This window comes from Homo sapiens, chromosome 12 (assembly GCF_000001405.40).
Source record: "Homo sapiens chromosome 12, GRCh38.p14 Primary Assembly".
Lineage (NCBI taxonomy): Eukaryota > Metazoa > Chordata > Mammalia > Primates > Hominidae > Homo > Homo sapiens.
This window is the reverse complement of record NC_000012.12, coordinates 59,581,061-59,604,125: the sequence shown is the minus strand read 5'-3', so window position 1 is coordinate 59,604,125 and position 23,065 is coordinate 59,581,061. Positions and strand designations below refer to the sequence as shown.

Genomic DNA, 23,065 nt, shown 5'->3' with positions numbered 1-23,065 from the left:
GAATTACTCCACAATACAGCAGCCTTAAATAAAGAATGTAACCAGGTCACATGCAAAAAACAGGAAGAAAAACTGAATATGTTAAATTGATAGAGAAAACAAAAGACATGTGAGCTGTCACCACATTGGTAGAGTATGTCATTCAAATGAGAAAGGGATTCATTTCATGTGGCCCCAGGAAGCTGAACAAAGACCCTAGGTAGAAACAAGAAAATTTGAGTCACAAGTAGAACTGCCTTTAAAAGAACAGTCTGCCTCAGTGTGTACACTTAAATAATAGATGGTGGTTTATTGAACATAATGAAAACAACACATAAAAGTGGAAACAGATGTCCTCCAAGTTTCTTGCAACTCTATAATCCACCAAAATGCTAAAGATGACATAAATATGAATACATTATTATTCCTGACATCTACAACTTTATAGTATATTAAGAAACTGAATAATTATATAAAATCAAATATAATAGAATGTCAAGACATTCTATTATACAATGTCAAATAAGACATTATAAACATAATGTTCCTGAAATTTTAGAAAAATTATTCTACCTATCCAGAGGTGTCAGAGGAAAATTTGTATGTGGTGTTTAAGCTCAACTTCTTAGAAGGTGAGGTTAGAGCTAGAAATCGTAGGACGTTAGATTCATTTCAAGATAAAAGAACAGCATGGCCAAAGATTTGGCGGTAGGAAGTAGAATGAGAATGAACGAGGCATGAGGACAGTTCCATTTGAGTTGAGTATGATGGTAGTGGGAGATGAACATGGAACAGCTGTTTGGACTTACATCATGCAGGGACTGAAATGTCAGTCCTTGGACCTAGGTGATGGGAGTGTTACTTAACAAAGGTGTGCTTCCATGAGAGTATCTGATACCATGTACAGAATTAACTGGTAGGGTGAGAGACCAGAGGTGGGAATACCCACTAAGAGACTATTACATGACTGTAGGTAGTATGTCAAAAGCACCTGAAACTTCTGGCAACAACAGAATAGAAATAAATAATTAAAAAATTATTTTGGATGTACACAAGTCCAGAGAAAGGGTGGTCTCAAAAGCTTCTAGGCTAGAATACTGCTGATATCAATATGAAGAATGGGGGTGACAGAAAGAAAGAAGACAAAAAGGAAGGAAGAGACCACAGGATACTGGAAGTATCAAAAGCACAGTAAAGAGAAGCTGTCCTGCAAACATCTAGAAATGTCTGGAAATGCCTAAAAGTTGAGGGAAGGTCAGGACTACAGCAAATGGCTTGGGAGTTATTCCTACTGAGGTGAAAGCGGAGGTCCAGAGCAGATGAGCTTTGTCAATCAACAGAATGCAGGCTAAAGAAAAGTCTGGCCAGGCTCAGTGGCTCATGTCTGTAATTCCAGCACTTTTGGGGGCCAAGGTGGGCAGATCACTTGAGGTCAGGAGTTCGAGACCAGCCTGGCCAATATGGTGAAACCCTATTTCTACTAAAAATACAAAAAATTAGCCAGACGTGATGGTGGGCGCCTATAGTCCCAGCTACTCAGGAGGCTGGGGCAGGAGAATCACTTGAACTCAGGAGGTGGTGGTTGCAGTGAGCCAAGTTCATGTCATTGCACCCAAGCCTGGGTGTTGCAGTGAAACCCTGTCTCAAAAAAAAAAAAAAAAAAAAAAGCCCAAAACACAAACTGGGGAAGACATACTTATATTGAATACGAGGTGAAAGGCGAGCTGGAGAAGAAGCAGTAAATGAGCGGTGAGAGAAGTAACAAAATAAAGAGCACATGAAAGCCAAAACAGGAGTTCAAGAAGCATTAGGGATGAATACTGCCAAAGGTTATTAACAGTCCAAAGCAAATAATTTGGAGGCTAGGAGGTCAATGATGCTCTGATTATTAAAGTTAACAGTTGTTATGCCTTACTAATAAAGAACTCATTGTTTCAAAACAAAATATTTTTATACAAGAGTATTATTTTCATCCTTTAATGAAAGGCAAAATAATTTTGAAAGTACTCTGAAAGTACTCTGATCCCAAATAAATTGTTTAAACAATCTCAATTTGATCTTATTGGCTGACAGTTTTCAACCATATGGATCACCATTCCACCACAGGTATATTAAAATGTAGAGAGGCATTTTTGATTGTTACAATGACTAAGGGAAAGCCACTGACTTATAGAAAACAGAGATAGATCATTGTTACGGACTTAATGTGTGCCTCCAAAATTCATGTTGAAGTCCTAATCCCCAAAGGAGTGGTATTAAGACATGGGGACTTTGGGAGTTAAGTAGGTCATAAGGAAGGAACTCTCATGAATGGGATTAGCACCCTTATAAAAGAGAGCTCTCACTCTCATCCCACCATGTGAAGATATAAGAAACCAGCAGTCTACAACCCAGAAGAGGCCTTCACCAACACCTGGACCATGCCAGCACCCTGATCTCAGATTTCCAGCCTCTAGAACTGTGAGAAATAAATTTCTGTTGTTCATAAGCTACCTAATCTGTCTATAGTTTGTTATCGCAGCCCAAATTTACTCAGAAAGGTCACAGACACCCAATGCTCTGCAATGAAAGAGACAGTCCTACACAATGAAAAAGTGTCCCACCCCAAATGCCAATAATCCCACCTGTTGAAAAATACTGTCACCGACTGCCATTTATCACTGAATTTGCCTTTCACATATTTGAGAAGAACTGATGGAACTTCAAATCCTAGAAATTTTGAAAATCATTTTTAAAATAAGATAAATGTTAATATCCCTTAGAAACTTATCAAATGCATGCTTTGTAGTTTTATTTTTTATTCTTATCTAATCTAGTTAAAAAAGATATAGATATTCAAGTTAATTACTTAGTAGGGCAGCTGCTTTGTAAAAAGTACCATTCTTTTACATATTAGCTTCAATAGAAATCTGATTAGAGGTATTGACTAATTAATAATGATACATATTGTATTATGAGGTGGAGAAACAGCAAATGCTTATAATAAAATGCTTTCTACAAAATACCAACACTGTATATGGATCTTTATTTATCTAAACAAATATTTCATTTGTGTTCACCACTTACACAAAATATTTTCTATTGAAAGTTGCTATTTTAATGCCAACTATTACATAAAACTAATCACCAGGCTCTATAATTGAACCATACAGACATTTTTGTGGAACTTAACGAAAGTACCTTTAGGCCAGTATCTTGTAGCTGTCGTTCAGTTGTCCCATAGGATTTTCATGAGGTCCTTTGAGACTTCAATGAGTATTAATGAAAACATTTGCGGGAGTTTTAGTATTAGGTCAGAAAAATTATTTCCAAAAATACTTGCTTCATTTATCAACACTGATATTTGTGAATATGTTGAAATTGTCTATGGTGCACCCAAGTCCCAGTTAGTCCAGCTCCAGCTGGACTAGTTTTATTATAGTCAGCTCCAATTTGTTTAATTTTCTCCCACATTTTTAATGATTACAGTTGATATATAAAGACCCTCCACTTATTTACTAATTACCAAATACGTGTGATAAGTGTTATTTATTCCTCTCGACAATGGTCCATTTTAGGCTAGTCTCTCATATTATGATTTTAAACAGCTGGATCTCTCACATAGGTAGACTCAGCCCCTGGATTCACCATTTATAGCAGCAACTGAGAAAATGAAGCTTTCTCACAAGTTAAAAAAAAAAAAAAGTTCCATTATTCACTGAGAGCTAGTGTGCAGATGTTTCCCAAGATATTTCTTAATCACTTTGATCCAAACAGTTTTGAGAAAGCCTGTGACAAACCAGGATGACTTCTCAAAGGGAGTCCACTTAATGGTTTATTATGCAATTCAACTTTGTTGTGCCATCTAATGGCAAGTTTGGCATTTCAGAGTTCCCAAAAATCTGTTAAAAATAAGCCAGTGATGCTTATGATAAACTAAAAAACATAAAGCCAAATATTTAATACCTAAAAGTAGTTATTGAGTTATTTCTATGTATGTGCTCAGCACAGTGCTATTTCACAGATATTATCTCATTTAATGTTTACAACCAATATACAAAATTGGTTACTATTCTATTTTTACACATGAAGAAACCGAGACTTAAAGAGGTCTAGCAACTTGTCTTTGTTGATAAGTGGCAAAGCTAAAATCAAAACCCAGACAGGCTGGACTTCAGAGCCCCTCGTCTGCCCTGTCCTGTCCCAAGCAGCAGCTCCACAGAGGTTCCAAGATGAATCAGATATACCATCTACTCTCAAAGACCATGTAGCCCAGGAAGAGAGATAGGATGCCTTCCCAAATAATTGTAATTCAAGGTAAAATATAAGAATCAGCCTAAGAGAAGCCCAGATCAAGTTACGAAGTAGTTCAGATGAACACAGATTACTTCAAGATGTGGAAAACAGGAGGGTACTTTTTATTTGGGATGAGTTGAAGGGAGGAGGGGAACAAAGGGCAATAACAGAATGTAATTATTCTTTGCCGCATGCCATTCTATTTATCAGGCACAGTATAAAACAGCTTATATTTGTTATCGTCTTTGGTGTTCAGAACAACAATACAAGTACTACCACAACATTGCATAAGACAAAGCCAGCCAGTGGCTTAACTAAAATTTAAATCCAGTGCCCCTGCATTATGGTCTGCCCTTTTAATTTCTTCCTTCTTTTTTTTTCCTGGTCCACCTTGAGTAGGTCACTCTTTGATGTTTGCACTTCATGGGCACCTTTTGCTAATTTGTCAAACCAAAGAGAATATTTTCCTATTCTGCATAAATGAGCATCATAAACTAGATGATTAGATGCAAGACAAGGAAAAGGAATCCTCAAAAGAGCCTCAACTATTGTGTTCTCAGGGCAGAGTTCATGCTGGATTTCCTGCCAGATTCAGTGTTGAAGGCGGGAGACACTTGGACTTGCTAATTTTTATTTCCTCCTCTTCCTCCTTCCCTCTAGTTCTGCTTCCCTCCCTCTTTCCTTCTTTCTATAATCAGTTGTTCTGAACCATGACATGCCAGACACTGTACTGGGCTATGGAGAAAACAACAGGTAAGGTCTTTGCTCTTATTTAGCTTCATGCAAGGCAGAAGCTATATGACACAGTGGTTAAAGCCAAACAGATCGCATCGGTGCTTGCCCCAGCTCAACCACTTACTAACTGTACCAGCTGAATAAGCTATGAAACTTTCTGGGCATAAATTCTTTTTTCTGTAAATATGGATATGGACAGATCCACCTCAAATGGTTGCTACATGCTATCAGACAGTAGTAGCACAGTGCCTGGAATATGGTGAGCATTACAGAGTTGTCATTATAGTTATTATATACTACAGTTACTTTATACTCTTAGGAGTGAGTGGATTGGTTTGCCCAAGGTGTAGTAGAAACTGCAACTCAAACTCTTCTCTCAAATAATGGAAATCAATTCATTGACAAAGATAATCTTCAGAGAAGGATCATCCTGCCCTCATAACATGAAGAAAAATCCTTCATTACCTGTTTTTATTCATTAAGGATCACTATTAATGGACAAAAAATGGGCTGAATACAGGTTCCTGAGAAAAGACATTCTTCTCAAATTTGCCTTTTAGCAGATCTTACCAACATTTCTTACAACTGTGGAGTTCCTTTCAAGTTACTTGGATATATGTTTCTTCCATCAAGAGGAGAAAAAAAATGGACTAAAAGGCAAATGGGATACAAGAAAGATTAACCTGAATGACTGACTATATGAGAACTTCTTGAAAGCAGAATTACAGCCTCATTCATCTTGGCAACCCTGGTAGGGTGTCTAGACTGATTATAGGGGCTCAAATATAGCCCGTCTGTATTCTAGGTACTTACCACACACTTCATTCTTCCCAATATCACTTCAGAGTGGGTACCACCAATCTCATTTTATAGACAAGAAAAAGGTAAAGCCCAGATTGTTAAACAATTACTCAACCTTACAAAAGTGCAGAACCAATCTGTTCTAAAGTTAATTCCCTTTTTCCATGTGAATGTCTCAAAAATGTTTGGTGGATGAATACAGAATTAAAAGCAAATTCTGGAGATGCCTTTTATTTCAGATCCGTGATCCAGGAATATGACTCCAGACAAGGGAGGTTTATTTAGGTAATGTTGCTCTCCTTCCCTTTAAAAGAGCTCAAAGCCAAAAATATAAGCCAGACATTATCAAAGAGCAAATGAATGTCTAGAAATAAACTGAGCATTTATAGAAGGATACACTAATTTGAACATCGGGAAACAGATGTTAAAATTTCAGATCACTTATTATTCAAACATGCCTTGGGGGGAAAAAAGTAATATGTAACTGCAAACTGTTGTTGTATTTGCAAAAAATAGTTTCTGAGTTTGTAAGTTGTTACACAATACACTGAGTTTCTTACGGTTGTAATCTTTCCTTTCCACTGAGATCATTCAGTCCCTCACTTGGATTGCTTTAAATGTAATCTGCTCAGTCAGAAGTAGAACCTGGAGTTAGGATTGCTTCACCAGAGCTAAATATTAGTCACTTTGCTCAACCCTCATTTGCCCTCTGCTGTCCCCACCCAACTCTCATTTTTCAGCCACACTCCACCAAATGCATACTTAGTGCTTGTGGTTCCAGTAACACAACACATTCAAGCTAACCTGTCTGTGGAAAGTTTGCAACCCTCTGAGTTCAGACTGGGGTTAGCCATGAAGCATGGGGTGACAGGAAATGGCATCCAGTAGTCACTCTTTCCTCTGGGTCCAGTCTTTTTCCCATCACTTTCATCATTGTCCGCTATTTTATTCCTCTGCCGCATCTCCTTTGGGACCCAAGAGGGAAGGAGGACACGAAATAATACAGGAAAGGAAATCAAAAAACAATTGTAGAGAAACCACTCCTCGTTTCCTCTTCTATGTCTCGTGTGTGTGTGTGTGTGTGTGTGTGTGTGTGTGTGTGTGTGTGTGTGTAAAATTTTAATTTCCCTGGAATTGGAACTACAGAAGTCCCTCCTCAGCCCTACCGGGAAAGTGGCACTGGGCACGACCGCCCTTTCCAAGGCAGTCTGCAATCCTTTTCGCGGAAGTAGAGGAGAAAAGGGGGTGGAGAAGGGCGCCGCGATGCAGCATCCGCTGAGAAAACAGGCAGTTCGCACGTGAGCGGGCTCGCAGCCTGTGGCGCCACCTGACCGGGCCTGGCGCCCCCAATGTGGTGCAGTGGCCCAGCAAGACCAGAAGGCTCAGGCCCTCCTGAACCCTTGCCAAGTCAGAGGTCCCTTTCTGCCTGGGCTCAGGCCTCGCCCGCATATAGTTTTCCATCTGCTTCCACCCCTGCCATCCTTCCTGGGGACCAAAAATGAAGAAAGACAACCCCCCCATCCCCCGGTATTTCGTCTTCCCCTCACAGCCTCTTCCTGTCCTGATCATCTGCTCAAAGAGAAGACGTTCTCTCCACACACTCCACCCCCGCCTCCACCTTCTGCGGCAATGAAGCCACGCCACCCTAGGGGGCTCGGGGGCCGGATGCTGGCGGGGCGCGCACTAGAGACACGCCGCACTGGAAGCAGCCCTCGGAGTCCCGTGAGCCAGGGAGACTGGGGTGCACCGCGCCACGCTGAGTCTCGGTGTAAAAGCCGAGAGCGTGAGCACCTCCTGGCCGAAAGCACGCGAGGCGCTCCTTGCCCAGGACCCCGCGCGCCCCCTCAGTTCCCGGGCAGCTGTCGGCGCGCACTGGCTGACGCGAGCTCTGCTCCCGCGGCCGCTTCGGGATTTTTTTGTCTATATAAGGGCTCGCTGGCCAACTCTGCGTTGGCACGTTTGTCACAGGCTGGCCATTATTTGCACACACGCGTGCGGCTCCGCGGGCAGCTCGGGTCGCAGACGCAGGCTCGCCCTCCTCTTAGCCGGCACCTCCTCCTCCTCCTCCTCCTCTCCCCTCCCTCCCCAGCTGTACTTACTTTATCTGGTCTCTGGCGCAGGGTGGGCGCTGCAGCCCTCCGTTCCCAGCAAACCGCAGCCGATTCGCCTCGCTGTCAACGGGTGAATGGAATTATTTATTTATTTATGGCCCCTGACGTGTCCTCGCCCGCCACAGCCAGCGGAGAAGGAGGCGGTGGCGGGAAGGGGAGGCGCGGCTGCTGAACGCCCTTGTGGGTGCGGAGGAGCGCGCGCCAGGGGTGGGGGCCGGACAGGCTGCGGTGGAGGCCGGCCCGGGGGGTGGTGGGGGGGAGCCGCCTCCCGGTGCCTGGAGACCGACTGAGCATGCTCCAAGCGGCTGTCAAAGCTATAGGCACTTTCTCTATCGCTCGGGGCACTCCACTTCGGATTTTAGTTTTGACCAAGGAAGAAAGCCAAAAGGCAGGTAGATCTGTCTTTCCAGATGGGTCGTAACTTGCTGTATCCGAAGTACTCTGTAGCCTGACCTAGAAGACAGATGTGCGGTAGCTCTGTGCAACCCAAGCATGGGAGAGGAAAGCATGCAAAAAAAGAAGAGTCTGGCCGAATGCAGGGAGAATAGGAGATCCTCATTGTGAGCTTGCAGGGAAAGTGTTGAGCCATTTTTCAACTGAGGCCTTTTTGGGAGAAAGAGGTAGGGCACTGTTGGAGATTAGACTCACCAACCAAATCACTTCACGGAAAAAAATATAATTGACACCATAGGAGGAAGGACATAGAAAACAGCACCAAAAAACATTAAAAATAAGAAGGATTTTTTTTCAAATCATTTATAATTCCTTTCATTTTTAATTTCTCAAATTACTTAGTTCTTCAAACCAGCATTTAGTTATTTGACAACGAATAGTGCTAGAGATAATGGTAATTCTGCTGTCATTGGTTTGGTCTCTTCCCCTGTCTAAAATGTGCTTCTTGGTAAAACTGGAAAGAGGAAGGGCTGGAAGAGAACATTTAAGTAACCCCATAGATTGGGTTTCTTTAATATCTTTAAGTTAAATTGCCACTTTAGAGAAAAAGAAACTATCCAAAAGAATAATTGTAGGTTTTGGCTTGACAAGTCCTATTGCAGTTTGTCTACCAGTTTAGCTAGCTTTCTCCTCCTTGATTTCACAATCATTTTAAGGTGTGTTCTATGATTCTTCACATTTTACGAATTTATAAAAAGAGTTAAGTCATTTGGGTAAATTCACATTGTCTTTGCCACAGCTAGTCTGTTGTAATGGACGAAATTTGAATTTCAATTTCTGTAGCTATGAAATAAAAGTAATATCAATCGTGTTGATTTCATAAGATTTAAGTGAAATAATATACATGAAGTGGCTGGTAGGCATAATACAAGATGAAAAAATAATCGTGATTAATAACATCAAAATTACTGGAAGATAATTTTATTGAAAGAATGATATTTGAAAATGAAAAAAAGGCAGAAAATTACAGAAAGGATTTTATATTTTTAAGCTAAAAATGCTTAAATAGACATTTGTATAAGACATAATAGGCCTTTGATAATGATGAAATGTCTAGCAGTGACTATAAACACTTCATTTAATTAAAAAAAGTTAAACATTTAAAAGAAACAACATAAAGGCACATTTCAAGGTCATAGTCTTGAGTGTTTGCTATTGATATTTTTCCTGCTCATTCATCACTTTTATTTCCTGTCAAAGAAGAGGAAGAAGAAAGACCATATGCTTTCTGAATTTTGATCCTATTCTCCCTTTTCCTTCTCTTTGATTTTTCTTTTTTGTTGTTTTTTTCTTATAGTCCCATGTTCTTGACCTGTTTAACCTATTGCTGAATGCCAAACATCACTACTTATAGCATGATATCGTAACCTTCTTTTTAAGTCTTGTTTTTTCAACAATTAAAACTCTGGATCTAATTTACCTACTGTCACAGAGTTAGTATTTGGGAACTCATTTCTAAATTGCTTTGTTGTGATAGCTAGGTATGTTATGTAAAATTTGATTGGACTAGAAAGGTATCTGAAAGGAGGGAGAATCAGCTAAGAATAAATTCAGCCAGTTTATCCTATGACTTACAGTTTAATATTGTTAAGAAATTGAGAAAAAAATACAATTTAGGGAAAAAATAAGCCATATGATTAGAACTTGGAATGCTCTGGTAAAATGTTTGCCTTGATTTATATTCATAAGCTGAAATAACAGTGGGAAAAACAAATAGCAATACACTTAGCATTCTAGCAACTCATATTCCACAGATGAGCAAACTGTGAATACGTACATCACATATATACTCATGAAGTCCACATGTCTTTTACTATATACCCACATCCTTGTGGTTTAGGTTCTTTCTCCCTTCTTCATTCCTCAGTCATACACAATCTTCTCACATTTTTCTGTCTTTTATCATTCACTGCCCTCTTTTCCATATCAAACTTGTCTAAACCTTTTTTCCTCCTTTAATGCCCAGCAAATATATCATCACTTCTATAGCATTTTAAGGATTCTTTGTTAACAAATAAGGGTTAAGTTCATCTTTCTCTGTGATCCTGCCCATAGAAAATGATTTAGGCCTCTATCTGGGGCATTTTGTTTCAGCTTCACATATGACTATATTATAATATGATTTTTGTTTCTGTAGCCCCAATATATTAGGCTATTTGAAAGTAGAGATGACATTTTATTCATCTCTGGGATTGTCACAGGCATTTGAACCAGAGTGACTCCATCTTGAGTAAGGCCTGGGTAAAATGAGGCTGAGACTTATTGGGCTGCATTCCCAGGAGATTAAGGCATTCTTAGTCACAGAATAAGATAGGAGGTTGGCACAAGATACAGGTCATAAAGACCATGCTGATAAAACAGGCGGCAGTAAAGAAGCCAGCTAAAACCCACCAAAACCAAAATGGAGACGAAAGTGACCTCTGGTCCTCCTCACTCCTCATTATGTGCTAATTACAATGCATTAGCATGCTAAAAGACATTCCCACCAGTGCCATGACAGTTTACAAATGCCATGGTAAGGTCAGGAAGTTACCCCATATGGTCTAAAATGGGGAGAAACCCTCAGTTCCCAGAATTTCCCACCCCTTTCCCAGAAAACTCATGAATAATCCATCTCTTGTTAACATATAATCAAGAGGTAATAATAAGTATAAGCAGCGGAGCAGCCCATGCTGCTACTCTGCCTATGGTGTAGCCATTTTTTTGTTCCTTTACTTTCCTAGTACTCCTGCTTTCATTTATAGACTCATCCCAAATTATTTCTTGCATGAAATCCAAGAACCCTCTCTTGGGGTCTGAATCAGTACCCCTTTCGGGTAACAGAATCATCTATCATGCAGCACAAATCGTTGCAGATAGAAAATAGTAACGTTTGCCAAATGAAGAAAAGAGATGACAGTGTGGCTGTAGGCAACAGATATGTGGTAGAAGCTATTGGTGCTCACAATATCTATGATCTGCCTGGCTCCACACTTCCTGGCTTTCCTTACAGTTATATTGGGACCATGCAACTATGTAGTTCTAAAACAGTATGAATGGAAGTGACATGTGTAATTTCTGGTAAAGGGAGTTAAGACCCAGTGTACCTCCTTCATCACTCCCTTTCCCTGCCATAGTACCATGTTTCTGATGAACTAGCTACAAAATGGAATCTCTGAAAAAGAAAGAAAGACTGCTTGAATTGCACTGTACTTTGTGTGAGCAAGAGACCATTGTTTTAAGCCTTGGAAATTTCAGGCTCTATTTGTCATGGGAACAAAACCTAGCCTATTCTGACCAATATAAGATATTACTGAAAAAGACAATAAGTCAGCCAGGCGTGGTGGCTCATGCTTGTAATCCCAGCACTTTGGGAGGCCAAGGCAGGTAGATCACCTGAGGTCAGAAGTTCAAGACTAGCCTAGCCAACATGGTGAAAACCCATCTCAACTAAAAATACAAAAAAAAAAAAAAAAAATTAGCCAGGTGAGGTGGTGGGCACCTGTAATCCCAGGTACTTCGGGAGGCTGAGGCAGAAGAATCGCTTGAATCCGGGAGGCAGAGGTTGCAGTGAGCCAAGATCGCAACACTGCACTCCAGCCTGGGCAGCAAGAGCAAAATTCCGTCTCGAAAAAAGAAATTGTAAATCATAAAGGCATAAAATCCCCAATGAAACATTGAACTTTTGAAAGTGCACTAATGTGTCCTTAAGTCAAAACTAAAAATATAGTCTCATGACCCCAAAATTCATATAATAGCCTTTTCAGAGTAAGACTGTGAGATTAAATTAAGGGTGTGTGTGTTTATAAACTACACACAATAGATTTGTTATAGCTAAGTACAAAAGACCAGATGTCCCAATGCTCCCCTCAACTTGGGTGAAAACAAATGTACACCTGCCTTCAAGTGGCAACATACTATGGTTGAGATTGTAGCTGGCTAGCAGCTGTGAATATGATTGCTGTGACCTGGTTTCACAGATTATACAAACTATAGAAATATATCTCCACTACTTCTAGATTTAAATCTTGCGTATATCTATATAGGCTACTTTGGAAATATCTTCTATGAAAAACTCCCATAGGATTTTGGGGAATGACAATCTAGTCCGATTCAACAAAGCATATAAAAGGGGAATCAATTGCATTGGCATTGCTGTATGGTATGCCTTTAAATAATAGCACACAAGAATCTTTGGTTTAAAACAAAATGGGTTTTTTGGCTCCAAAAATCTCTTAACGGATTATGTATTAAAAAACTTGTTTGTTGGGGTATTTTTCTAAATTTACATTTTATCAATTATTATCTGTAAACTAAACTTAATGGATTCTGGGTGTTTTATAGATGCTTTACCACGTAAATATTCTGATTATTTTGAATGCATATAAGATTAGAAACTTAAATTAAAAGTTATCATCATAGACTGTAAACTTTTCAGGCAGAAATCTTGTAAACGGTGGCTAATGAGTATTAATATATTTTATGAAATGAATCAATGATGACTGAATGTGTTATCAAGAAGCTAAGGCTTTAGTGCCTTTTTCTGTACAGTTGATCTTTGCTGGGTTCCTTAACCTCTCTGAGTCATATGTTTTTACTTTAAGATCTTAATAATTATTAATAGCTTCACTTTCTACAATTCAATGATACTTGCGAGCACTTCAAGGGTGCAAAGATCCACAGAATTTATGCATAATCATAACTAATGAAGAAAATATTTATGTAGTGTTTTTCTATTAAACTAAAAATAAATGTTTACTTCTCAGATTTTGGAGAACAGTGTTAATCAGGATGCTTTATAAAATGTGACCATAAATTTACCCGCTTAATTTTTAATATTTGTATTACTTGCCATGTGCCTGGAATGTCCTTGAAGGGTTAGTCATCGTTTGCATCAACATAATACCTCATAGGTCACAAGAGAGTTTCATACAAAACATTCTCAACTGCAGGAAGGTTTCTCAGTAAACTGGGTTTTCAGCTGCTGTTGCTTTGTTTCATTGCTCAAAGTTAAGGCCATGTTGCCATTCTGTTTTCCATTCAGGAACTTTTCTTCTGCTTTCCATCCGGCAGGAATTTTTGTGCTGTTTTGCTATACAGGCATACCTCAGAGATAATGCATTTTCATTTCCAAACTACCTGAATAAAGCAAATATAGCCATAAAGTGAATCACATGAATTGTTTGGTTTTCCAGTGTATATAATAGTTATGTTTACACTATATCATAGTCTATTCAGTGTGGAATAGCCTATGTCTGAGAAAACAGTATATGTACCTTAATTAAAACTATCATATTTCATTGTTCAATTCCCACCTATGAGTGAGAATATGCGGTGTTTGGTTTTTTGTTCTTGCAATAGTTTACTGAGAATGATGGTTTCCAATTTCATCCATGTCCCTACAAAGGACATGAACTCATCATTTTTTATGGCTGCATAGTATTCCATGGTGTATATGTGCCACATTTTCTTAATCCAGTCTATCATTGTTGGACATTTGGGTTGGTTCCAAGTCTTTGCTATTGTGAATAATGCCGCAATAAACATACATGTGCATGTGTCTTTATAGCAGCATGATTTATAGTCATTTGGGTATATACCCGGTAATGGGATGGCTGGGTCAAATGGTATTTCTAGTTCTAGATCCCTGAGGAATCGCCACACTGACTTCCACAATGGTTGAACTAGTTTACAGTCCCACCAACAGTGTAAAAGTGTTCCTATTTCTCCACATCCTCTCCAGCAGGAAGGGGAATATCACACTCTGGGGACTGTGGTGGGGTGGGGGGAGGGGGGAGGGATAGCATTGGGAGATATACCTAATGCTAGATGACGAGTTAGTGGGTGCAGCGCACCAGCATGGCACATGTATACATATGTAACTAACCTGCACAATGTGCACATGTACCCTAAAACTTAAAGTATAATAAAAAAAAAACTATCGTATTTCTAAAAAATGCTAACCATCATATAAGTCTTCAGAGAGTCATCATCTTTTTGCTGGTGGAAGGTCTTGCTTGAGGTTGATAGCTGCTGACTGATCAGGGTGGTGGTTGCTGAAGTTTCGGGTGGCTGTGGCAATTTCTGAAAATGAATTTTGCCGCATTGATTGAGTCTTCCTTTCAAGAAAGATTTCTCTATAGCATGTGATGTTGTTTGATGGCATTTGATCAATAGACCTTCTTTCAAAATTGGAGTCAACCCTCTCAAACCCTAATGCAGCTTTGTCAACCAAGATTATGTAATATTCTAAATCCTTTATTGTCATTTCACCAATGATGACAGCATCTGCACCAGGAGTAGATTCTATTTCAAGAAACCACTTTCTTTACTTATCCATAAGAAGCAACTCTTCATCTGTTGGCAAGTTTTATCATGAGATTCTTATGATAAAATGAGCAAATTCAGTCACAACTTCAGTCTACACTTTTAATTCTAGTTATCTTGCTGTTTCCACTACATGTGCAGTTACTTCCTCCACTGAAGTCTTGAACCCCTCAACGTCATCCATGAGGGTAAGAATCAACTTCTTCAAAACTACTGTTAATGTTGCTATTTTGACCTCTACCTATGAATCATTTATGTTCTTAATGGCACCTAGAATGGTGAATTTTTTCCAGGTTTTCAATTTAGTTAGCCCATATTCATCAGAGAAGCCACTATCTGTGACAGCTATAGCCCTATGAAATATATGTCTTAATTGATAGGACTTGAAAGTTGAAATGACTCCTTGATCCATGGTCTGTAGAATGGACAGTGTGTTAGCAATTATGAAAACAACATTCATCTCCTTTACATCTCTATCAGAGCTCTCAGGTGACCAGATGCATTGTAAATAAGCAGTAATATTTTGAAAGGCATCTTTTTTTTCTGAGAAGTAGGTCCCAACAGTGGGCACATTTCCATTTAAATTTTCCATGTAAATGGAGTTGTAAATTGTAAAGCTTAATAGGAAATAAAGATGATATTATTATATATAACATATACACATATTTCTAAAATAAATAGTCCTTCAGAAATAAGATAGTAAAAGTTCATCTCAATAGTTTTTTAAAAGAAAAATTGGACAATTGCAAAATCCAGAAATAGTTTTCTATAGAAAAATTAATCACTTCACTGGTGTATTACTCTAAATAAATTCCTTATTCCGTTAATATTAGATGTTTATCTTTGGTTAACTATATGAAGCAGCATTTATCACATAGCAGCTACAGACCCAGTTATAAAATAGTGCACTAAAAAAAGATTTATTTTCCTCTGCAATTCAATCCAATTATACTCTGAGACTGAAATTCTTCCCCATAACTATTCTAGAGAGAATTTTATCTTTATTTCCAATCTAGATATGGGATCTTTGAAAATTATCCTCTTTTGGCTGAGTGTGGTGGCTCACACCTATAATCCCATATTTTGGGAGGCTAAAGCAGGTGGATCCCTTGCACCCAGCAGTTTGGAATCAGCCTGGGCAACCTAGCAAGACCCCATCTCTACAAAAATAAAAAACATTAGTTTCATGTGGTGGTGTGCACCTGTAGTCCCAGCTACTTGGAAGGCTGAGGGAGGATGATCACTGGAACCCAGGAGTTAGAAGCTGCAGTGAGCTATGATTATGCCACTGCACCCCAGCATGGATGACAGAGTGAAATACTGTCTCTAAAAAAATTAATAGATTATCCCTATTTTTATTTGAAAGAGATTTTTTTTCCTTCCTTTCTGCTCTGCTTACTATTTGTTTGTTTTAAAAAGGAGTATAAATCAGCAATAATGTTATGCTCATAGATTTTGTTTCCTGAACGGGTGTTGCTTGTCTCTGATCCACAATGTCTGAAGCCCCAGCTGGCAAGACTGGAACACAAAAACACAAGCCTCTAATGTCACCTAGAGGCTTCTTCAATCATATGTCTGATACTTGGGCAGGAATGACTGTAAGGCCAGGTTCACTTGAGCCTCCTGATTGGGGCACCTAAACATGGCTTCTCTATGTGGCTTGGGATTCTTAGAGCATGATGGCTGTGTTCCAAAATGTAGCATACTGAAAGACAGCCTTGTAAGAATGAGGTAGAAGTTAACCTAGACTCAGAAGTTACTTGAGGCTCAAAATAACACAAATGTATGAATTCACTGTTTTGTAAGTCAAAATTCTGAATGACTTGGTGGTTCCTTTGCTCTGGGTCTCACAATCTGGGGGAAAATCTTCCAAGTTCTTTCAGGTTGCCGGCAGTACTCAGGCCCTTGCAATTGTAGGGCTGAGGTCCCCATGTCCTTGGCAGATGTCAGCTGGGAAACTTTCAGCTCCTTAAGGTCACCGGAGTTCCTTGTCACATTGCCCCTTCATCTTCAAAAAGCAACAGAGCCTGGCATCTTCTCATATTTCAAACTTCTCTGACTTTTTCTTCAGCTGCATCTCTTCTTCTGCCATAACAGAATACGATACACTGGGTGGCTTAAACAACATTTATTTTTCACAGTTCTGGAAACTGGAAGTCAAAGATCAAGGAGCCAGCATGAGCAGGTTCTTGGCAACAGCCTCTGCCTGGTTTACAGGTGACCATCTTGCTGTGTCCTCACATGTCAGGGAGATAGCTTTCTAGCTCTCTTATTTACTTTTATAAAAGGAATTCCATCAGGAGGATTCCACCCTCATGACCTCATCTAAACCTAATTACCATCCAAAGGCCCCATCTCAAAATACCATCACATCATAAGTTAGAGTTTCAACATGTGAATTTTGAGGGGACACAAACATTCGGTTGTTGGCAACTGTAAAGTTGGAGCAACCCCCATACAGAATTCTTGGTCTCTGTGGTAAAAGATATTATAGTACAAAAGCCAAGCCTCTGAACTTAAGTCACCCTGCACAGTAGTAGTATCATAGTCAATGAGGTTTATCCGAGGCACAATTATTGCTAATTGAAGTCTTTTCACAATATCCTGCCATGATGACTTGAAATATAGTCATATATTTCAAGTATTGGTAATTATTGACAGTCTTTAAGGAGACTGAACAAAAACAAAACAAAACAAAACAAAAAAACAAAGTCACATATTAGGGAAAAGGGGGACTCTCAGGAGATTAGTGCCACCCTTAAAGGAAGCAGGAGTGGTAGTCTGATGATATTTTAATTCACAAACTGGCTTCTATAGAAAATAAATAATTTCTGAAAGACAATTGTAAACTACCACAAACTCAACCAAGTAGTAGCTCTGATTGCCACTGCCATGCCAGAAATGGTATCTTTGTTTAAGCAGATAAATATAAACATACCCTCAAGTACGTATCATGGAGTCATTAATTGGGTGAATGCATTCCTTTCTATACCAATGAGAAAGGAAAGATGAGAGCCAGTTTGCTTTCATATGGAATCAACCAAAAATAATAACAATACATTTAGAGTTTTTCTTCAAGGATTTCCTAATTTTCCTTTTCTCTCACATGATATAGTATGAAGAGATCTGACTATATGGACCTCTCACAGAACATCACAGTGACCCATTACACTGGTAGCACGATATTTACTAGACCCATTGAGAGAGAGGTGCCTAACACACTGGAGTTCTTAGAAAGACACATCACTCCTGTGGGTGGGAGGTAAAATAGTGAAGCTTAGAAATCTTCCACTTCTGTACAATTTTTAGGGATTCAATAGTGCAGGGTGTGTCAGAATAGCCCCTCCAAAGTAAAGATACATTATTACACTTTGCACCTCCTACCTTGTAAAAGGAAGTATATTGTCTATTAACCTCTTTGCATTTATTGGTAGCATATTTCAAACCTACAAATACTGCCCTAGCTCATACACTAAGTTAGGTGAAAAGCTGCCATCTTTCAGTGTTGTTCAGAGGAAGAAAAGTCCTTATAATGTAAGCACCCTTGCCTGCTGAGAAACACAATCCAACAGGCCCTATGTTGTCGGTGGTAATCAGTGGTAACTATATATAGAGAGAGAGAGTTTATTATTAGATAATTAGTACATTTTGCAGTGGTAATTATACTTATATACCACTGATTACCACCAACAACATAGGGTCTGTTGGATTGTGTGTGTGTGTGTATATATATATATAAATTGTATCACGTGGGCTTTGTGGAAATACTCAGTGATATATACTAACTTATAGGCAGTAGTAAATGACCAGGCTGCTGGTCAGAGGCCCATTTAACGAGAAACACCTTTACTACTAGAACTTGAACTAAAAATACTCTGAAGAATAAAAAAGTTTATTTTTAGATAATGGAAATTATTTAAATGGCATGTTCCTGAACCTGAGGGAGCATTAATGTGATTACTAGTGAGACAATCACATTAAAACCTCCCTGGGCTTCAAGACCATGCCATTTGCAACATAGTGTCTCATACCTTTTGAAAAACTACTGGCTACTGGGCCCTGGGAAAGAATGAGTGTCTGATATCAAATGAGCATGGCCAGGTTATTGCCAGTTATCAGCTGGATCCTGTCAACCCCACCAAATCACAGGCAGATCCAGCAATGATCCATTATAAAATGGCAATGGTGCATGTGGGATCAAGCATGAGTAGCACCAGCGGGTACAAGAAAGTAACATGAGCATTTAGCTCAGACTCCCATGGCACCCACAACTACTGCACCAGCACACCTCCCCTAGCCACATATACAGCTATATGAGGGATCCCATACAGCCATCAAGGAGGAGATAAAAAGGCAAAATTTGTTTTATGTATGGATCAGTTCAGCATAAACAGCTGCACTGCAGCCTTATCCACGGGTAGCCTTAAAAAACAGAGGTGAAGAAAGATCTTGCTAAGGGGAAGAGCTTCAGATGGTGTACCTTGTAATGCACATTGCGTGAAAAAAGATGTGGTCTCAGGTTAGGATATGAACAAACTCATAGGCAGTAACAAATGATCTGGCTGCTGGTCAGAGGCCTGGAGTGTAAAGGATAGGGAGAATGGGGACAAAGATGTCTGGAATATAGGTATATGGATGAACGTAGGTGAGTGGTCATAAAGTGTGAAGATGTTTATATCACATGTTGGTGCCCACCAGAGAGCATTCACCACAGAATAGTTGCTAAACAAGCAAGCACTCAAAGTGACCACTAGGTTGATGTCAGCCAGCTTCTCCATTGGCCATGCCAGCGCAGTTATGATGGACACATATAAAGCAGCTATGAGGGAAAAAAAAATGGAGGCTATGCATAGACCCAAAAGCATGGACCCTGACTTTTACCAAGGCTTATCTAGGCACTCCTTCTGCCAAGTATTCAATCTGCTGCAATGGAGACCAATGTCGAGGCCAGATATGGGACCATTCCTCCAGGAGGCCAATAGACCACCTTGTAGCAAGTTGTCTACATTGGGGTCCTTCAATCGTGAAAGAGCCAGCATTTCATTCTCATAGGAATAGATGTATTTCACATATGAGTTTGCCTTTTCTGCATATAGAACCTCAGCCAGCACTATTATCTGAGCTTATTTGACCCACTGTCTTGTTATCTCACATAACATCAGATCAGATCAGGGGATGCACTTTTCAGCAAAGGAGATGCTGGAGAGGACCTTATCCATGTTATCTACTGGTCATTACACCAACTGGATTCAGAGGTATCTGGCCTGATAGAGCATTACAGTGGACTCTGAGGGCACAGCTGGAGTGTCAGCCCAGAGCCACCAGTCTGCAAAAATGGGGTACCATTCTCCAGAGTTCAGTGTATGCATTAAATTGATGGCACAACCTTGCTTACTACCCCTTCTCTTCTCTAATGAACACCTTGCCCACTAAATTCAGTGTCATTGTATGCTTCTTGAGAAACCTATCTGTGACGTTATAAATATTTCCTCAGTTTAGAAGTGAGTAAGGAACTGCAGATCAGGCACAATTTCTCTCATCTTTGCCCTTGAAATTCACATTCAAGACACAGAACTATGTGAAATTTCTACACATAAAGAATACATATCATCATTAAGCCAGTAGTTTAAAAAGAGTTCAATATGCAATTTTAAGCCCCTTCTTTCTAAACTCTGGTTATCTCTGGTAATCACATGCAGTAATTTAATTTTGAGTATGTAGATTACATCATACACATAACTGTATTTTTATTTTTTATTTTATTAGCAAGCTCACCTTTCTAAGTGAATCATATTTACTTTTAATACTTTTTACTCAGGCTTTATGAAGTATAATTTACTCCAAGGAAAATTTACATTTTGTAGGTATATAGTCTTATGAATTTTGACAAAAGTATACATCAGTGTAACCACTACTATAATTAAGTGGTCAATTCACTAACTCTACCACCAGCCCATGGAAACCACTGATTGAGGTTTTTGGTTTTGGTTTGTAAATACTTTGTAAATGCTTTTCTTTCTCTTTTTAAAAAAATTCTGCAACATTGTTTCTTTTTGACAGTTTATCACCCTTCACGATCATGCCTGGTATTTTAGAATGACTCCAATTTAGTGATATCAGGACAGCCCTCAGGAATTTCTTTTTTTTTTTTCCTGCATGTTCTGGAACATCTTATATCCACCTGGGGAGAGTTACCACTGCTGCATGACATGATGTGTTAATCCACTTTCCACATTGCCTAGCTCTGGGGCTTTACCTTCTGCCTTTTCTAATCAGTCAAGCTAGCTCCTTCTATCTCAGAGTTCATTGCTTTAAGGTTCTCAAAGATTCTCTGCTTGAACTGAGTAATCACACACAGCCTCCAAGACTCATGAAATGAAATGAATTTATGCTTCAACTCTAGTAATTCTGTCACCTACTTTGTCCCTATAAGTCTTAGGTTTAAATGACTTACTGCTTCATTAAGTTGTAAGCCCATTTAATGAGAAACACCTTTACTACTAGAAGTTGCAGGAAAAATATTATGAAGAATAAAAAAGTTTATTTTAGGTAATGGAAACGAATCTTAATTCAAGCCCTCATTAAGGTTCAAATAGATTATTAAAATGTTCTTCTAAATGATTTCCCTACCGCTAATTTTATTCCACCTTCAGCATTTTATCCTTTGTAAGGACATCTGTATTATCCTTCTCCCTACTAACCCTTCTAATGAAAGTGAAAGATTAAAAAGTGAAGACTAAAAAGAAATCACATGAGAAGCTGATGTAACATTTAAGGTGATGTGCAGATATATTTAAAATAATGCCTCTGTTCCCTATCCAATGTAATACAATGACTGTTCTTCTAGAAAGCACTTTCGAGAAAGAAATATAGATATATAATATTTGCTTTTCCGCTATAGCAACACTGTGTAATTCATATAACATTTTTTGACCAAGCCTGAATTTCATGTTGTAATAGGAGAAAGCAATTTGGAGATTAGGGGAGCCCTATGTTCTTGTACCTTTTTGTAGTCTGAGAAGAGATTCAAGTTTGCAATACTATTTGCCTTATTGAGTCATAAAATCCTTTATTAAACATTTCCTTATGAGAATCCAAGAAGGGTAAATCTATATAAAATCTATAATTCAAGATTGAATGAATGAATCTGCTACCTGTTTCTTAGAAAAAAAATCTGGGCATTTTTATTACTATTTAGAACAACAAACAAACCCATTAGTTCCCATTCCAAATTGTTGTAATTAAAATGATTATTCTTAATATTTCTTATATTTCCTTATAAATATAACCAGCCTTAATCAGGACTTCTGATTTATTATTCATTTTACAGTTGAAAACATTGCAATATTCTGGAAGAATTTTCCACTTAAGTTGTCCTCATGTTTTCCATATCTGATATTATTTGAAAATTATCTAATGAATATTAATTTTATATGCACAAGAATAAAATACTAGTTAATAATTAGCTGTTTCTTACAAGTTAAAACTTGAAATGGATAGTCAATATACATGGAAGTAGAAATATTTGATTGCAATTACATTAGAAGACATTTCTCCTGTAACTTTATGTATGGCCTCTTTCATGCTTGATACCAGCCACAACTACATGTAATCTCAAAAATGGAATCAATGAATTAGCAAATGTTTATTGAGGACTTTTTATTCCGTGCAGCAAAAATGGAAACAATAGGTATTTCGTGAGTACTCACGATGTATTAGGATCTATGTCCAAATTTTGATGTGCATTATGTCCTTTAACTTCATCACAAGCACAAGAAAGATTAGTACATTTTGCAGGTGAGGAGTCTGAAGCACATAAATCTTAAGCTCTATGCTCATGTCACACAGCAAGTCAGAAACATCCAGTCTACTCAAGCCTCTCTGATTCCAGGGTTTTTACTATCTTAGCTACACTTTAGGGCTATGCCTTTTTAGTTATAGGCACAAAGATGAATGAGAAATGGTCCTTGCCTGAAAGAACTTTACCAGCTAGCAGATAATCTAGTTAAAACATATATAAAAATAATGATAACTCAAGATGGAAAGAAATAGCCAACATATGAATTCAGATCAAGCTAGGGTGAATGGAGCAATTTCTTGTTGTTGAAGGGATCATGAACGGCTTTTTATAGGACAGAAAGCTAGCAGAGTGCAATGATTAAAAGCTTGGGCTACTTGAATTTAAACCCCTGTTCTGCTACTTAATAGCTACATAACCTTGGGCCTCTTTTAGAGTCTCAATTTCTTTATCTGTGAAATGTGGATGATGATAATAATAATAGTAATTGCTTAATAGGGCTATTGTGAAAATTCAAAGATCCAATATTTAAAAAGTAGGTAGACTCATGCCTGGCACATACTACTGACTATCTATCCATTAAAAAAAAAGTAAATGACGAGCTAAT

General features: G+C 38.6%; 1 protein-coding gene and 1 pseudogene across 3 annotated transcripts in view, besides 3 other annotated features; one reads left to right on the top strand and one right to left on the bottom strand.

The window, feature by feature from the left end:
* The window catches only part of SLC16A7 (solute carrier family 16 member 7), a 193,813-nt gene extending 185,716 nt beyond the window's left edge, over positions 1–8,097 (bottom strand). For all 3 annotated transcript variants that reach the window (XM_011538989.3, NM_001270623.2, NM_001270622.2), the window contains exon 1: positions 7,890–8,097. The gene's annotated coding sequence lies outside the window, so the exon portion shown is untranslated. The remainder of the gene's footprint in view (positions 1–7,889) is intronic.
* Positions 7,289–7,438: an enhancer, noted in NCBI's record as "active region_6575". NCBI's record gives its function as "activates an Ori minimal core promoter by ATAC-STARR-seq in GM12878 lymphoblastoid cells {active_cell/tissue: GM12878}" and the evidence as "EXISTENCE:reporter gene assay evidence [ECO:0000049][PMID:35858748]".
* Positions 7,489–7,628: an enhancer, noted in NCBI's record as "active region_6574". NCBI's record gives its function as "activates an Ori minimal core promoter by ATAC-STARR-seq in GM12878 lymphoblastoid cells {active_cell/tissue: GM12878}" and the evidence as "EXISTENCE:reporter gene assay evidence [ECO:0000049][PMID:35858748]".
* Positions 8,099–8,168: a silencer, noted in NCBI's record as "silent region_4603". NCBI's record gives its function as "represses an Ori minimal core promoter by ATAC-STARR-seq in GM12878 lymphoblastoid cells {active_cell/tissue: GM12878}" and the evidence as "EXISTENCE:reporter gene assay evidence [ECO:0000049][PMID:35858748]".
* Positions 17,183–17,333, top strand: RNU4-20P (RNA, U4 small nuclear 20, pseudogene; annotated as a pseudogene).